At 47.3% G+C, this 18,351-nt stretch overlaps 1 protein-coding gene and 1 pseudogene across 15 annotated transcripts in view, besides 1 other annotated feature; both read right to left on the bottom strand.

The window, feature by feature from the left end:
• Nucleotides 1-18,351, bottom strand: part of TCF7L2 (transcription factor 7 like 2) — a 217,432-nt gene that overhangs the window by 162,235 nt on the left and 36,846 nt on the right. The gene's annotated exons all lie outside the window — the stretch shown is intronic.
• Nucleotides 6,547-7,499: an enhancer, noted in NCBI's record as "VISTA enhancer hs1980". NCBI's record gives its function as "enhancer in: pancreas[3/4]" and the evidence as "EXISTENCE:transgenic organism evidence [ECO:0001131][PMID:17130149]".
• Nucleotides 17,580-17,962, bottom strand: RPS15AP30 (ribosomal protein S15a pseudogene 30; annotated as a pseudogene).

The raw sequence follows: 18,351 nt of genomic DNA, 5'->3' as shown, positions 1-18,351 counted from the left end.
GACTTAGAATTCAGCCAGGTCATGCTCCCTGCCTACAGTGAGAAAATTTAAGACCAGCAAGATGGGGCACCCCTCCACAGCTACCCTGCTAGCCAGCAGCAGAGAAGGACCCACCTCTAACCCATCTTCTGAGACCCAGTCTTTCTCCCAGCACCTCCCCACAACATGCACAGTGCTGACGGGATCGTGGGAGGGCCCTGCAGCACACACATTCATAATGGGCCATTGGAATGATCAGGCGGCGTGGTAGACCACCTATGACACCGTCTTCAGCGCTAAGAACCTCATTCATGCATGCATTCATCATTCCTGTTTGACCCAACACGTGCTAGGTGCCAGGAAATGTGTCTATGGTCTGGACGGTCCTAAAACAAAAGCCTCCCCCTTCCCCTGAACCGAGGCAGCTACAAGAGGCTTACAGAGCAAGACTTTCTGAGGCATCAGAAGGAGGGGTTAAGAAATGGAACCCTAGGCTGGGCACAGTGGCTCACACCTGTAATCACAGCCTTTGGGAGGCCGAGGCGGGCGGATTGCCTGAGGTCGGGAGTTTGTGACCAGCCTGGCCAACACGGTGGAACCCCATCTCTACTAAAACACACGAAAATTAGCCGGGCATGGTGGCGGGTGCCTGACATCCCAGCTACTCAGGAGGCTGAGGCAGGAGAATCGCTTGAACCCGGGAGGCGGAGGTTGCAGCGAGCCAAGATGGCACCATTGCACTCCAACCTGGGTGACGAGAAACTCCATCTCAAAAGAAAAAAAAAATAAAAAAGAAATGGAACCCTCAAAAGTATACGTCAATTCACTGTGGGAAATTTTATGCTAATTGTCTGAAGACGTTTAAGATTGAGTCACAACTGGGAGAAGAAAAATGCCAGACAGAGAAGCTTTCCTACAAAAAGTAAAATTTTTGAAAAGAAATTTGTTATTTCATTAGTCTGGTCTATGACATACCTGGACCTATTCATCTCTTGGGTGTGAAATACAAGCCAAGGACCTTAAAGTTCCACTGTCCACGTGCTGCACATTCTCCAGGGGAAGGACTGGTGAATGAACAGTTAAACTTTAACTTCCACACCCATCTGCAGCTCCATCACGGCTTCCTAAAATATTAACATGGCTTGCCTGGAGTCTACAGAGACCCCATACTTCCTCTGGCTTCAAATCCATCCTACTCCCTGCCCTGCCAAGACTCTTTGGGCTTTCTCTCCACAGTGGCTCACACTGTTCTTCCTGCCCCAAACAGCACTACACCCCGGAGACTTCTCTACTTACAGGCACTCTTCTTTCCTCCAATAAAAAGTCCGCCCTCTCTTCAATGAACTGGTGGAATCTCTTCTCAGTCATTAAAGCCAAACTAACTGATACTGGGCAATCAACTTCCCTGTGCTACCTAGGGCTCTGTTTCTTCAGTCTGTGACACCCCAATGGGAAACTTAGCTCTGCTTGATTCTCCCAGCCTCAAGGGTACCTAAAATCCCTCTAAAGGTGTATGTTTCGCCAGGTTCTGCACTCAAAAGGTGCTCCTCTATGGTCCCTGTTCCCCGTGGGTGTGTACACAGCTTCCAGCTTCCTTCCACCAAGCACAGAGCCTGCTGAAAGCCATGGTGGCCTACACCATCTCAGGGAGTATATTTTCAGCCGAACAGAACAGGGCTCAGATCCTGACGTTGATTGATACTCGCTGCCTGTGGGACCTCAAGCAAGTTCCCTAAAAGAAAAGTTCCTCACCTGTTTCATTTCATGAGAATCCCATCCACGGTCCTCAGAGGGCTGGAGAAGGGACAATTGCTATGCTCAGTGGTTGGCACAAAGTAGGTTATCTTGATAGATGAGTTCCCTCTTCACCTCCCCTACTTGCCCATAAATCGTTTGGTAAGTTACAAGAAGCAAAGATAACATGATGCGGGCTGGGAAACAGGATAAGAGAGGGCAGGGACAGGGAAATAGAGGGCAGTCATTCTTTCTGAGCCCAAAAGTGGGAGGGATCCAAGCCCAACCTCAGAGACCATCCCCAAGCCATGCTGAGGCTCTGGGGACAGCTCGCTACAAAGCAGACACTACTGGCACCACATGGGTGGCTGGGAAACAAAGGCCCTGGCAGCCAAAGGGTCTCCAGGGGCACGTGGGTGAGATCCCACAAAGAGAAGGCATCAAAAAGAGGCCCCAAATCAAGACCTGATCACACATCAGCCACAATAAATAATGTTTGCTCAAAGGTGGGAGGTGGGGGGAGTTGGAAAGAGACAGGCCCTTATTGGAGAAGGCCGACTTGCATATCCAATGTGGAAGAAAAGCTTGTTTTGTATGTTATACAATGGAGACATTGTTCACAAATGCTTTGCCCATACATAATCAGGCCTGCCTCTGGTTATTACATAAGTCTCTGATAGTTTGAGATTCCAAAAATTAATTTATTTCTATACTTATTCATAAGAATAAATATTTCCTTTTATTTTTGTGTGCATACACGCACACATATCCATGCACAGAACACCACAGGCTCTAAAATGAAATTTAGAGATGAGCAAAATGTATTGACATATGAAATTGTTCAAAATGATTCTATCTAAAGGGATGGTGAACTTTGACTTCTTCAACACATCCTCCTCCAAGAAAAAGTGGAGGGATAATGTGGTTTTTATTTTCTTTCATATCCGCATTTTTTTTAAGAACAAGTCTCAAAATAGAAGCAAAGGCACTTTAACAGAACCTCTAGACAAATGAAAGGAGATTCTTTTCCTGCTAGTTCTAAGGGCTATTTTCCATCTTGCCTGAATCTTGATGTTCCCATCAACCAACACCAGGACTGGGGCATAGATAAGCATCCCCCACAGCGATCATGGGGGCAGCAAGTGTGAGTTACCTTATCAAATGTAGAAGAGGACACACACACACCCCCACACACAGCCAGGGCTTCTCCACTGCAGCACTAGTGACATGTTGGGCTGGATGACTCCTGTCACAGGGGGCTGTCCTGGGCATTGCAGGATGTTCAATAGCATCCTTAGCCTCTGCCCACGAGATGCCAGGAGTACCTCCCAATGACTGGCCATGCTAAATGTCTCTAGACATTGCCAAATGTCCTCTGGTGAGCAAAATCACCAGCATTTGAAAACCGCCGACCTAAACAACTTGCATCCAGCAGCCCCAAGGAACAACACAGCAGCTCCCATCTAGCTTCTTTGGTCAGGATATCTGGCACACAACAGGCTCAAGGACCAGCTGACTGAACTGAAAACATCTGGATCAGGGTTTGCCACTTTGATACCTTTGTATGAAGTCCGAGGCCTCATACAAACCTGAACACAACCTACAGGCTTCATAAGTCACAGTTTTTCCTTCCTAAGAACAGGAGCTGGGGATGAAACCTGTCATCCCATTTAATTCTCATCATCATCCTTGGTGGAGGGTAGTACTGTGCCATTTCACAGATGAAGAAACTGAGGCCCAAAGAGAGATACCAGGATTTGCCTCACGTCTCGTAGCCTCTAAACAGCTGGGCTCAGACCTTAAAAGCCCTTCCTGCCTATGCTGATAATCAGAGACAAGGTAGTGCTGGGTTTCAAAGGGGCTTTTAATTCTTTAGGAAATTACTTTGGAGGAAAAGAAACAAACAAGACTATCTTAGTGAAGCCAGGCTTGGAGTCACATCTCTTCTGTTTAATCATCACTCAACACTCACAAGACAATAAAAATTCCCTTCGTGTAAACAACGAGTATGATCAAGGGTGAGTTGGTTTGGTTTGCTGTGTATGTGTTAGGGGGCATGATAGGGGGGTCACCCAAGCCATCTCTTATCCCAGTACCTCCAAACTTTCTTTGTGTCATAAACCAGAAAGGTTAGGGAGCCCTTTCAGGAGCTACCCTGCCCTGAGTAAAGTTTAGAGTAGTCCTCCCTCCAAACCAAAAGAAGAGAAGGGAAAAAAAAAAATCCACTTAATGATTGAACACTAAGGCATTAGAGATGTGGGCTCCGTAACCCAGCCAGCCAGCCACTTCTCTGAGAACCAACCTACCAGCTAACAGCACAGAACTCGGAGCTGGCTGGCTGGGGTTCTACTTACCCTGCAGGCATTTTTCTTATTTCAAAGTTTCTATTAACTCCCCACTGATGTGCCCTAAAAGAATTTTTAAGGGCTTGGAAACACATAAATAAAATACTCTTTGTTGGACCACTACAGCCAAATGAAAGTCTTTCACCTGCAGCAGTGACGATAAAAGTTTCAGGCCCTGCTTTCACAGGAGCCATCCGAAGACGGGAGAGCCCGGAGTTCTCAAACCGCCTGTCACTCTCCTGCCCTCCAAGCCAGCACATTCCCCAGCCAAGGGCAGGGCGAGGAAGACACGCTCACTGCACGAACAGGTTGCAGGAAGCATTCCTGACTCCAGGCCTGCCCTCCGGAGCACTCTGCGTTCCTCCTGAGCCTTCCAAAAATACCCAGTTAATCATGTTTGTCAAAACCCTGTTCACACATAAAGATGAAGCAGAATCCTTAGAGACTGCAGTGGAAGGCCGGGAAGTGAAGGGTGGGGGAATGGCCCTAGCGGGGTTTGGAGGAGAAGAAATAGGACCCAACCATATCAAACACCCAGAAAGAGAAAAATTAAGGTGCCTGTCCGACTGGAATAGTGCAGTAAATCCGATGCCACTGTCTTCAGGGGCAGAGCCTAGGGTATCCATATCTCACACTCATGTACCCAGAGCCTTCTCACAGAATTAGGATTCCTTGCCCTCCCCTCCGGGCCCGTGAGATGGCTTGCCAGTGGTAAGGATAACAGCAGCACTGCCAAAGGCCATCCTAAGCAAACATCACTGCTTTCGCTGTCCAGGAAAGCCATCATCCAAACTCCCACTTGGCAGCTATTGAATAGCTATGGTGCTTTGCTATGTGCTAGGCCTCAAATCTGGGCTGCTGGTTAAATCCAGGATCTGTCACTTTGCCTTTCTGGGCCTAAGAATTCCTCACCTTTAAAAAGACCGGCCATACTATGACCCACTCCCTACCAGTTGTACAACTGTACTTGTATTTGACAGTGGTCTCAAGCCCCAGTCCAGGCAGGTCTCGTCTTTTCTTCTTCCCTCCAGAACCTACAAAGTAGTGTCTAATTCACTACCATGCACCTGGGTAGTGAATTAGACAAACATTAACAAGGTATTGTTCCCTCTCTATCACAGCTTGCTCCCCAAGATGGTGCCTACACCCATCACAGATGGAGTAAACAAACAGAGTGAGACTCGTCTCAGATCTGGAAGGCTACTCAAGTGTCATCTAATCCCTCATTTCCCAGGTTGCATTATTCGGTCCCACAAAGAACATTGCAGATTTTCTTTAACTTTAGGACTTCTCAGAGCCTTCAATATCCTAATGAACATCTTCATTCTCCAAGAGGCAACTGCTTAGACAGTGTCCCCTAAAATTACTTAACCGTAGAATATCTGGAGAAAATTCTCAGGGCTAGCATCCTACAGGCCATAAACAGTCCACACCCCAATTCATTTTACAGATGAGAAAACAAGATCCAGGAGGTAAATCGAGATGGCCAGGATTAGGTCCCATGTTCTCCTAAACCCCAGGCCAGCTTCTGAATCCAGTCTGTGTGTCCTAGTTCTAACACGATATAGACAGGGGTATTGATAGACAAGACAGGAGTAACCACAAATACAAGTTATTTGGGGTCTCCAAGGATCCCCACTGTTCCCGAGGTTTATACTCAACAGCCATTAAGTAACAGGAAGTTCTAGAAGCATGCAAACCCTTAGCCCAGGATGTTTTCTACATACGCCTTATTTTTGTGACGAGTAACTGAAATTTCAGCGTATTCCATTTTTCATCCACACCATGAGAATAACTAACCAGCAACGCTATCAACCTGTGTTCAAGCCCCTCACAGAGAACTTCATCTTTTGGGTAGCTTCCTCTCCTCCTCCCAGAAAGCAAATTGAGATGGTATCTGCAGAGTGCCTCAAGCTTCTGAGAAGAAAGGCACCAAGCTAAGACAAGATACTATTATATAATAAGAAGGACTCGTAAACCTCCCCACAAAGACATTGGAAGCACACAGACTTGTTCAGGCCCAACGCCTAGTGCGCTACAAGGTGCCTCCCTGCCTCTCCCACAAATCAGGGATGGGGCTTCCAAGCCACCAGGTCATGGAAACTTAGCCACACAGAAGGCAAACAACAACACAGGACCATGTGAAGTCGTCTATTACACAGGCCTGGACAGACAGGGCTTCCCTGCAGCAAAGTATCTCATGGATTGGAAAGTCCCATGAGAATGGGGAAAGGCACTGCTTAAGAGAGGCTGAGGCAGGAGGATCATTTGAACCCAAGAGTTGGAGGCTGCAGTGGGCTATGATTGTGCCACTGCACTCCAGCCTGGGAGACAGAATGAGACCCTGTCTCTGAAAAATAAAATACTTTTTTTAATAGGAAAGTCTGGTATTCACTTTGCTGGGGGGAAAGCACAGAGAGCCTCAAATCCATCCACAAGCTAACACTAATGAAGAGGACATGGAAAAATAACCTCTCACACTGCTGATCAGTATCTTAATTTGATGTGATGTGATAACCAAGAAAAATACAAAGACATGCAAAAGCATTACAAATTATTAGAACTTTCACTATGTATTGTTGCCAGTCAGCAAACACAAAAAGCTAAAATGTTTATAGCGAAGAGATGAAATGTAGCAGTGAAGTGCCCAAGCTTCTCAGTCACACAGGCCTGTGTCCAGGGCCCCTCTAACCTTTTCCTAGTTATCTGACATTGACTAAGTTACTTGCCTTCCCTGTAACTGTGGTTTCTCGTCTGAAAACTAAGGGTGCCTCATACGGCAATTAAATTATATAGTATCTAAAAAGTGCTTAGCTCTCTAATTGTTCAGTAAATAACAGCTGTGCTAGGTTTTGAGGCAGAGAAAGCCCATGAATTTGTCACCATTTAAAAAGGAATCTTCTCTTTGGTCCGGCAGAGATCTCATCACATCTGCATTACCATCTGACGGCTCCCCCTGCTCAATCCTGCTTTCTCCCTTTTTCTTTCACATGTGCAACCCTCCAATAAAACTTTTGTGTATGTCTTCACATGTGAAAAAATTGGAAAGGTTTTAGTCCGATTCAATTTACAATTAAAGAAACAGATCCAAAAAGGAAATTCCAATTTTGTTCAAACAGAAAGTGACTAAGCAAGAAACAGAACCTGGGCTAAACTCGGTGGCTCACGCCTATAATCCCAGCACTTTGGGAGGCTGAGGTGAGAGCACCTCTTGAGGCCAGGAGTTCAAGCCTAGACTGGCCAACATGGTAAGACTCCATCTCTTTAGAAAAAAAAAAAAAAAAGTAGGACCAGAACCTGGGCCCCTCCTCCCCACCTCATCTCCCTTCACTCTCTGCATCTTCTATAGTAAATCAGGGATACCATATACCCCCACACCTTTTTTTTGTTTTTTGTTTTACTGTCAAGGCAATTAATTAATCATCTTTTGCACACGGGGTTGTAATACACTTAGAAATTTGAAGAAATTTACAGATACGTCAGGTGTCACTGGATTACAATGCAAGGTTGCAGGCAAAAACCTTCAGCCAAAGAGGACGGCTCTTACCTTCGAGAGCAGTACTAGAATTCATAAAGTATGAAATTAGGTCTCAGTGTGACACTCTAGGCCCAACAGAAACCAACATGGAATCTTGCTCCACCTGACTCCAGTCCTAAGATGGAAATTACTCAGAAGGAAGGCAGGACGAATATCGCTGATGAGACCAGGGAGATGTTTTACAAAGGCTGTCATCTGCTCGACCATGCCCCTCAGGTCCCTGGTCACTCTTCCTGGGGGAGAAGGTTGGTGTCAACCCTTTCACGAAAAGGCAGCAGCTCTACAGCTTACTGCCCAGTAAGGCCAATGGGCCTCTGGCCCCCTTTCTGCTTCTGAATGACAGAAAAGTGCCTATCATTGGATGGCACTACCATTGTTTCACTATCTCACAGGGGGACCCCAACCCCTCTCCCATTCAGCCTGGTGTTTCTCAGCCTTCAATCCACTGCCCTTTGGATAAACCAAAAACCGCTCCAAACCTCCCTTCATGTTATTTGAAATTTCAAAATAAAATGTCATGGCTCCAATCAAGACAAGCAAACTTTTTCCACCGCTTTTTAAAATGCTGATGTCCCTGTTGTCTGTCTAAACCAGCGTACCTTCAGTAGATGGAGATTGGCTCCAAGTTGAGAAACATTCTACCAGCTGTGGTATTTGAACCCTGGATTCTCAAAGACATCTAATACCCAAGGCTGAGTCAACCCTCATAATGGAGGAAAATTAACCATAAAACCCCTGGCAGACATTCTGCAATGTTTCTCTTCAGACACCTGCTGCCTCATTAGTTTGTGGGGGAACAGGACACTTGGGCAGGAACATTGTTAATTCCCTGGAACCACTTAGAATTCAGCTCAGCTCCTCACCACACCAACATCACTTTCCACCATCATGGCGGAGCATGAACCTCTCCTTTCCTCTCTCTCCCCAAGCCAAATGCTAACATCTCTGAGAAGCACAGTCTCCCTGCAGTCCCAGAAGAGCAAATGCCCTTGCAAGGTCCCCCAAAGCTGTAGAAATTCCCACCTCTAGAACCCTAGACTCTGGTCCCAGCTCAGCCTTTTAACGAACCATGACTTTCACTTCCCTCAGTGGAGGTTGAAGGAAACCATCTCTTTGGCCCCTTTTGGGTTCTGACTGAACAGCTAAACCTACACATTGGCCTTCAGGCTTCACCAGCACTGATCACTGGCCGGAAATCCCAGGTGCCCTCCAGAAGTCAGCTTAGGAGAGAGAAGGTAGTCAACCGTGGTCACTAATGAGCACTGTGGCTTCCATCAAAGGTCCTGACCAAAGCTTATGCTATTGGTTCCAACACTAAATGCTGAAGGCCAAGGTGAGGGGGGCCCTGGTTTGAGAGTGCAACCATCTGGATCCTGGGGTTTCCCTCCAAGGCCTGACATGTTGCATCTCTCCATAAAATATTTCCTTTAGTATCTTAGGTGCAGAGACCACAACATGGCCCCTTTTTTAGGTTTCCCATGTAAAATATTGAGGCTCTCCTCGGGCATCACCGAAAGCAGCATCTTTTCTTGATGCCATAATAGAGACCCTTGACAAGGGCCCCATATCACTTCGGTCGCCATATCCGAGAGGCTCATCCTCCTCCGAGAGTCATTTTTCTCAATGCACAACATTCACTTCTTTGCTTATTCTTTCACTGGGGACAACACAGCCTGATGAGCTCTAGAATACTAACCTAGGCTGCACCCCTAGCTGGCCTCTTCCTCACCTGTAAAATGGGATCCTCTGTAAATGAATGCCCACCGCATAGGATCAAGCTGTAAATGAGTTAATGAATGTAAAGTCCTTAGTCCATGCTGAGCACAAAATTTTTAAATAAATGTTTAAGTGGGAAATTTAAAAAATCTCAGCTCCTAGAGGCTCACAGCTATATCCCTACAGTCACTGGAAATTTGAGGCAAAGATTAAATAACTTATTTACTCACAGATATTTCTGGAGCCCCTAGACAATGAAGATGAAGCTGCAGACAGATGCTCCCTACCCTCATCAGGGATGGGGAAGGGAAGGGACTGCCAAATAAAGGAAGAGGCCAGGGCATGATCACGACTCTGAAGGAACCCCAGGGGCAGGCGCCAGCAAGCAGTGACTCTCAGGAAAGGGAGGTTTCCCAGAGGGCCTCTCCGAGGGAATGACCTTTAGGCTAATTTAACCAACACACCAGGCAGTAGTGGGCTTAGGAGAAGATAATTTGAGTCACAGAATAGCCCAGGTGAAAGGTCCTTCTAGATCAATCCCTTGTTCTGAGCTGCCTGATGTGGGGTGACTCGCCTGAAGTCACAGTGATACTCTGCAAGAACCGGCACAGTTCAGGGTCTCCCACTCCCAGTTACGCCTCCCGCTGCACCACCGGTGTCCAAGGAATTGCATGAACGTGGACAGCCTCTGTCCAGAGAGAGCAGGTGGTCACTCCCATCTCCAGGGCTGAGACAGAGAAACAACAACCAAGCAACGAACTCCAGCCACTGTCAGGAGACTTACAAATATCTCACCAATGGCCTCTGTGGGTAATGATGTGGTTTGCTTGAAACAAAAAAACGTAAGGCCGAACTTTGCCTACTGGGAGATTCTTCACCTCTAGCCCAGTCCCAAGTCAATCATCCCAAAGTTTCCTTCCACTCACTGGCCCGAGGCCTGGGTTCCCATCTCTACCCAGAGAGCAGCCCAGGGGTTCCCCTGAGGAGGAGGGTGGATCTAACATGACAGCCTTTTCTTTTCATTTGTTTTGAGACACAGTTTCGCTCTTGTTGCCCAGGCTGGAGTGCAATGGCATGATCTCCGCTCACTGCAACCTCAGTCTCCCAGGTTCAAGCGATTCTCCTGCCTCAAGCCTCCTGAGTAGCTGGGATTACAGGCGCCCACCACCAGGCCTGGCTAATTTTTGTATTTTTAGTAGAGATGGGGTTTCGCCATGTTGGCCAGGCTGGTCTGGAACTCCTGACCTTAGGTGATCTGCTCGCCTCAGTCTCCCAAAGTGCTGGGATTACAGGCATGAGCCACTGTGCCTGGCCTTCTTTTTTTTTAACAGGGTCTCACTATGTTGCCCAGGCTGGTCTCAAACTCCTGGGCTCAAGTGATCCTCCTGCCTCAGCCTCCCAAACCACTTTTTATAACCACTTTTTAAATATTGTTTCTGGCAATCAAAAGTCACATTTTGCTGTGCTGCCTAACACAACTGGTACATCACAGAACCCAAGGTTTTAAAAGTTTGGCAGCTCCCCAAAATGTTAAACAGTTATTTATTATATGACCCAGCAATTCCACTCATAGGACTATACCCAGGAGAAATGAAAACATGTCAATACAAAAATTTGTGCAAAATGTTCATAGTAGTGTTACTCATAATAACCAAAAACAGATAAATGAATAAACAAAATGTCTATCCATACAATAAAATATTATTTGGCCATAAAAAGGAATGACATACTGATAGATGCTACAATACTGGATGAACCTTGAGAACCGTATGCTAAGTGAAAGCAGACAGACACAAAAGCCCATAGATTTTATGATACCATTTATATGAAATGTCAAGAACAGGCAAATCCACAGTGATTGCCAGGGGCTGGGGGGAGAGGAAATGAGGAGTGACTGCTAATGGGTAAGGGAGGTTTCTCCTCGGGGGTGAGGAAAATGTCCTGGAGTTAGAGGGTGTGGATGACTGCACAGATCTGTGACTATACAGAAAATCACTCAATTGTACACCTCAAATAGGTGGATTTTATGGTTTCTAAATATCTCAGTAGAGCTGCTACTTTCTTTTTTTTTTTTTTTGAGACAGAGTCTCGCTCTGCCGCCCAGGCTGGAGTGCAATGGCATGGTCTCAGCTAACTGCAACCTCTGCCTCTCAGGTTCAAGTGATTCTCCTGCCTCAGCCTCCTGAGTAGCTGGGTCTACAGGCATGCGCCACCACGCCCAGCTAATTTTTGTATTTTTAGTAGAGATGGAGTTTTACCATGTTGGCCAAGCTGGTCTCGAACTCCTGACCTCAAGATCCGCCCGCCTTGGCCTCCCAAAGTGCTAGGATTACAGGCGTAAGCCACCGTGCCCAGCCACTACTTTCAAAAAAAAGAAAGAATAGACCTGAGGTTTGGCCCAAGACAGCTTGCGAGGCAAGAGGTGTCGTTTTTGCCCTGTCCCTCTCTTGTAGAGGGGATTCATCGTCCAACACTGTGTTTTAAGTGCTTGCTGGGATAACTTACAGATAACGATAAGCCCAGGTGCACCCTGAGGAATCTTGCAACCTAGGTACAGAGGCCCAATGCAAAGCAGAAGCAGGAGACAGCCCATGGCAAAAGCATTTTCTTTTTTTTTTCTTTTTTTGAGACAGAGTCTCACTCTATCACCCAAGCTGGAGTCCAGTGGTGTGATCTCGGCTCACTGCAACTTCTACCTCCTGGGTTCCAGTGATTCTCATGCCTCAGCCTCTCGAGTAGGTGGGACTACAGGTGCCCACGACCACACCCAGCTAATTTTTGTATTTTTAGTAGAGACAGGGTTTTACCATGTTGGCCAGGCTGACCTCAAGTGATCCGCCTGCCTCGGCCTCCCAAAGTGCCGGGATTACATGCATGAGCCACCGCGCCTTGCTGGCAAAAGCATTTTCACATGTGTGTTAATAAAGACCCATTCTCCAGGTCCTGCCCCTGGAAGACTCTGATTCACAAAATGGAGTGGGGAGAGGACACGTGACAAATCTCAGTTTTGAGAAAGTTAAGAATTACATGATCAGAAAAGTCAGGGGGACGTTAGAAATACAAGACAGTGGCCGGGTGCGGTGGCTCACGCCTGTGATCCCAGCACTTTCGGAGGCCGAGGCGGGTGGATTATGAGGTCAGGAGTTCAAGACCAGCCTGGCCAAGATGGTAAAACCCCATCTCTACTAAAAATACAAAAAATTAGCCAGGCGCGGTGTCAGGCACCTGTAATCCCAGCTACTTGGGAGGCTGAGGCAGGAGAATCGCTTGAACTCGGAGGGCGGAGGTTGCAGTGAGCCGAGATCGTGCCACTGCACTCCAGCCTGGGTGACAGAGTGAGACTCCGTCTCAAAAAAAAAAAAAGAAAGAAAAATATAAGAGAGTAACACTGCATTCCGGAGTCACAGAGGGGGTCTGCTTGGAGGTCCAGTCCTCAGGAGGGGTTTCCAGGGGCCAGAACCAAAGCATGGAGTCTTCCTCGAGAAACTCCAACCACCTCCTATCCTGAGTCCTAGGACTCTCTCTTCCCTCCCAGGAGCTCCGGGCACTTGGTAAAGATAACGCAATCTTAGCACCCTGCAGCCTCCGGCTCCCGTAGGCCCTGCTGGGCAGGCTGCACTCCTTTTGATTCCAGAAATGTTCGCCCAGCACTCGGGCAATTGGCAGTGAGCTGGAACTCGAACCCAGGAATCCCAACGCCCACAGATTCTCACCTCCAGCTCCAACAAAGGCCTCTCTGTCGGGTCTGGGTGTCTCCCGGAGGGCATGCATCCCTCCCAGGGCTGGGGGGCGGAGGCGAGGGTGGCGTGCGGAATGGAATCTATGCTACCGACGCACATTCACTGCTTCCCAGGTTGCCCAATCCCACTGCCTGAGGGGACGGATGGGCAGAGCTTTCTCTGCGCTTGGCAAGGGGTGTCCTGGAGGGACTGAGGCCCTAGACCACTCACGCCTCTGCCCCCCACCCCTCCTCAGGCTTCACTGCTCTCTGAGTCCAAGGCCTGACCAACAGGCCGCCTGGAGTCTGCATCCTGCCAGGGTAACAGGGCTGGGAATGAACAACGGAGCTCTTGTTCAGACATGCTTTGTAGCCAATGAGGTTACCCTCTGGAAATACTTCTAAATAAATAGAAAAGCCAGCCCATCCTGAGGTCTATATGCAGCCTGGCTTTTGGTGCAATGTACACCCTGGGGGCGTTTCACCCCTCCCCGGCCCCAACAGCCACCTCTGTATGTGGCTCATTCCACCTTCACAGTGATGTTTCCTCAGGAATCAGAGGCAGAATCCATAGGTTCGCCAGTGTGGGGCCGGGAAGCAGAGTGCCCCACGTGCCCTACTCCTTCCAAGGCTCCCTCCCCAAAAAGCACAAGGAGGAAAGGTCAGCTACAGCTGAACAGACCGACAGGGGCCTTCTCCAGGAAAACAGCAGCAGCCTGCGCTGTCTCTGCTCCATATGTAACAAGCCCTGACTAGATGGTGGGGACCATCTAAAGAGAGCTGGCTGTCCCTGTAGCAGCCTCTGAGCCTGACTCCCCTTGGCGGTGGCAGAGACTCACCCCATGGCTCTTCTCATCCTGGGGGAGGGGTTCCCCACTTTCTTTTTTTTTCTTTCTTTTTTTTTTTGAGATGGAGTCTCGCTCTGTCGCCCAGGCTGGAGTGCAGTGGGGCGATCTCGGCTCACTGCAAGCTCCGCCTCCCGGGTTCACGCCATTCTCCTGCCTCAGACTCCCGAGCAGCTGGGACTACAGGTGCCAGCCACCACGCACATAGAGACGGGGTTTCATCGTGTTAGCCAGGATGGTTTCGATCTCCTGACCTTGTGATCCGCCCGCCTCAGCCTCCCAAAGTGCTGGGATTATAGGCATGAGCCACCGCGCCCGGCCAGGGTTCCCCACTTTCAAACCACTCAGGAGCCTGGGGGTACAACCTCACATGGATACAGGATTCCACCCCCCTAGCAAGATCTCTGTTAGCTTCCCCAGTTCCCAGAGAGGGGAAGTGGGTCCCCAAAGGTGCTGAGACAAGCCAGGCAGTCCGAGTCTGGCCCACAACTTTGGCATGTCCACTCCACCTGGCAAGAAGGGATCCAGAGGCTGAGAGTTCCCAAGGAAGGCTGCAGAACTCACCTCGGGAAGAGTTCCAGGGAGAGAGGCAGTCCTGAGCTGGAAAAATAGGGATTTCAACACCAACTGACCAAAACACCAATGGATCAGTCTCCAATTGAAAAGCCTGTCTTGGGTAGCATTTTTCTCCCCAGAGGGCTTCCATCAAACGGTCTGTCTTGGCACTCAAAACCCATTGAGATGAGTACGGAAACGTTATTACCATTTTAAAGGTGAGAAAGTGGCTTGGCCATGTAAAAGACCTATAAGCAGCTTGGCTAGCTAATTTTTTTTATTTTTTATTTATTTATTTATTTATTATTGAGACAGGGTCCCACTCAGTCATCCAGGCTGCAGTGCAGTGGCACAATCACGGCTCACTGCAGCCTGGACCTCCTGAGCTCAATCGCCCGCCCACCTCAGCCTCCCCAGTAGCTGGGACTACAGGCATGCACCACCATGCCCAGCTAGATTTTGTTTTGTTTGTAGAGACAGGGTTTTGCCATGTTGTCTAGGCTGGTCTCGAATTTCTGGGCTCAAGCGATCCACCCACCTCAGCCTCCCAAAGTGCTGGGATTACTGGCATGAGTCATGCGCCTGGCCAACTAGCTAATTTTTTAGCAACCTTTAGGTTCCTGAGATTGTCTCTGCCCAGAAACTTACGGGACGGGGATGTATGCTGGGGAAAAGGTTGGGGGAGAAAAAATATTTTACAAACCTGAACTGCTCTGTTATTGAATGAATATAATTAAAAGTATACCCTCCAAGCAACAGGAAAAAATAATTCATGTGTCTAAGCTGAGATACCCTGGAAACTTGCAGGAGGACAATCACTAATAAAACACTCCTGGTCCCCACTGCTATGTGTCTAATTCCATGAAGAAATGACTGTAGCCACGTGCAGGAGTCCTGAGAGGCAGGCAATTGTCTTTATATTATTAACAGTAATGGGAAACGTACTACCAGGAATAATCATTTCTGCAACGTGCCAACCTGAACTTCCATTTCACTGTATGAGCTCCTGGGGCATCAAAGCCAACACATTCGCAGAAGCGCTCAATGAAAGGAGGAGGGGGAAGAGAAGAAAGCCCAGCCTTCTGCCCACCACCCTCCCCTCACCCCATCTATTAGAAAATCTATTTCTAAATAAATCATGAGGAAGCCCAATCTGCAAAATCTTCCATAGTACTAGGTGAGCCAGAACCCCCTGAAACACCACAACAACATTTTAGATCTAAATCTCAACATTTCATCTACCCCACCTTGGTCCAAATTAAATGAAATGCTATCACGCTGCTGTGTTTTAAAACAGTGTCCGAGAAGGTAGAAAAGGTTACCCACAGCAAGCAAGGACTGCCATCCTCACCATAGCAACGCGCCTATTTATAATATGGTCTACCTGCATCAAAGGCTTGTGCAGACACTCAAGGCAAGTCTAGTGCTACATCCCAGCCTGAAGATGAAGCCGCAAACTCTCATGAGCATGTCAGTGAAACACTTCCAATTACATTACATGCCATAATTATTAGCATTGACTAGCAATTTTTTTTTCTTCCTGCTCATATAAGAGTAAAGGGGAAGATGAATTAAGACAGTTTCTAGGACATAGAAGAAACCCAGCATGTAACTTTATAAAGTGTTTTGGCTTTTTTTCTTTTTTTTTTTTTAATGGTGAACTCCAGAGGCAGAGACAGGAAAGGGGGGTTGCTAAGGGAAGCCAGACCTGAGGCTGCGAGTCCTCACCAATGTCACGTGCAAGGCCTCAGTCACTCCAGCCAGAGAGGGAAATTCCAGAGTAACCCAGCTTCAGGTCTATACTGGACCTTGGAAAAAAGAGGCTTTCATTTTACAGGGAGACACAGGAACCTACATCTGATTATTCACTTGCAAAAGGATTCTGATTCACCTTGAGGGTTCACGTTAGCATTCTCAAAGAGAAACCCACCTAGACTCCCAGCAGCTGCCTCTCCCTTTGCATGTCAACATAGCAACCGCAGAGCATGACAGGACCCGAGCCTCAGACAAGGCCCAGACTCAATCCAGCGCTGCCACTTGCTAGCTATGTATCCCTGGGCAAGTCCCCTACCTTCTTTGAAATTCTGTTTTCTTATCTGTATAACGGGGATGATGTTTAAAGGCATTGTGAGTGTTATGTTGCAATATATAATGTCCATATATAGAGAAACTGGCAGATAGAGCTCAAAAAACACCTATTCTTTTTTCTTGTTGCTATTAAGGTTATTTCTGGAGGAATGATTGCTGAATAAACAAAGCGTGAGTTCCTACACAAGATAGAACCACAAGAGGACCTCAAAAATGTGAGCTTTCCCCTCTCTTAACATGCACATCACGGAATAATGCCAGCCCCATTTCATAACTGGAAAAATTGAGCCTAGGCTCATATTTGCATTAGTGATAATACTAAGGTTCAAACTGGTGTACAGAAAGGAAACTAAGAGAAAATTAAAGGGTGAGTGGCCCACTCGGCCTATCTCCAAAAGGAACCACAGATGGGAGGCAGGTAGAGAGTGACCCACACTATTCTCATTTAGTCAAGTGGAAGAAAGATAAAAAGGACGCCTTGAGCCAAGGGAAGTGGTACATAAGACAGAAGCTCAAAACAACACACGGGCCAGGTGCAGTGGCTCACGCCTGTAATCCCAGCACTTTGGGAGGCTAAGGCGGGTGGATCACCTGAGGTCAGGAGTTCGAGACCAGCCTGGCCAACATGGCAAAACCCCATCACTACTAAAAATACTAAAAATCAGCCCAGCCTGGTGGCAGGCACCTGTAATCCCAGCTACTCGGGAGGCTGAGGCAAGAGAATTGCTTGAACCCAGGAGACAGAGGTTGCCGTGAGCTGAGAGCCACTGTACTCCAGCCTGGGCAACAAGAGCAAGACTCTGTCTCAAAACACACACACACACGGGATTCACAGTCCCAAACACCCTCCTCTGATAAGTGTTATCTTTTTCCCAGTAAACTGTACATTCCTAAAGGGCAGGGATATGTTGCTGTATCTAGGATGCCTAGGTATGGCAATGGGTACATTACAGATCCTAAATAAGTATTTGTCTCTGGTGCGTTTTTTTTCCCCCATTGAGGCATTTTTATTTTATTTTTATTTATTTATTTATTTATTTTTTCATGGGTGTATTACACCCCTAGAAAAAGAATCCCAGGCTTTTTCCTCCTGTGTGTTTTCATCTCATCTCTTTGTGGTCCATGATGCCAGCTGAGGTCAGCACAATGCAGGCCAGCTGCTGGGACAGGAGCAGATGATTCTGCCATCTTTTTAGATCTTTGAGCTGCACATCAAATCTCCAGCTGACCACTTCACACTTGATAACCTGCCTGTGAGGTTCATCACAATCTTCCCTGCTTCGTGATGATCGGTAATTTCAAATTCGTCAATGCACCCATGCTTCATCATCACACTTAGAAACTGGACGACTCTGGAGCTCCACCTGAGAAGAACCTGGTGTTTGCTTCTCTTTCCCACATTGTTGACGCTCTTGAGAGCATCCGCCAGGACATTCACATACACCGTTATGGTAGTAAAAGGAGATTTGTTTATTTTGAATGCATTTGGGGGAAAAAAAAAAAAAAAAAACTTCTGCTTCCTGGAAGCTCCCCAGAAGTGGCTTATTTAAAAAGCAAAAGATACAGTATCATTTCATTTCATTATCACAACAATCCTTGGAGGGAGACAGTTTTACTATGCCTATTTTACAGACAAGGAAACTGAGATTTATTTGCTGCAGGTCATATAAAGTCACAAAGTAGCAAAGCTAGGATTCAAAGACAGGTCTAACTCTACAGTCAAGCTCTTAACTACCTCCTTTATCTTGATGTTTCTCTTGGCACATCAAGTGTATCTCGAATAGTTCTTAGCTACCAGAAGATGCTCGGTAAGTATTTTTAAAATAGAAACAA

The sequence above is a fragment of the Homo sapiens genome, chromosome 10 (genome assembly GCF_000001405.40).
Source record: "Homo sapiens chromosome 10, GRCh38.p14 Primary Assembly".
NCBI lineage: Eukaryota > Metazoa > Chordata > Mammalia > Primates > Hominidae > Homo > Homo sapiens.
The sequence above is the reverse complement of the archived record's forward strand: the minus strand, read 5'-3'. Positions and strand labels throughout refer to the sequence as shown.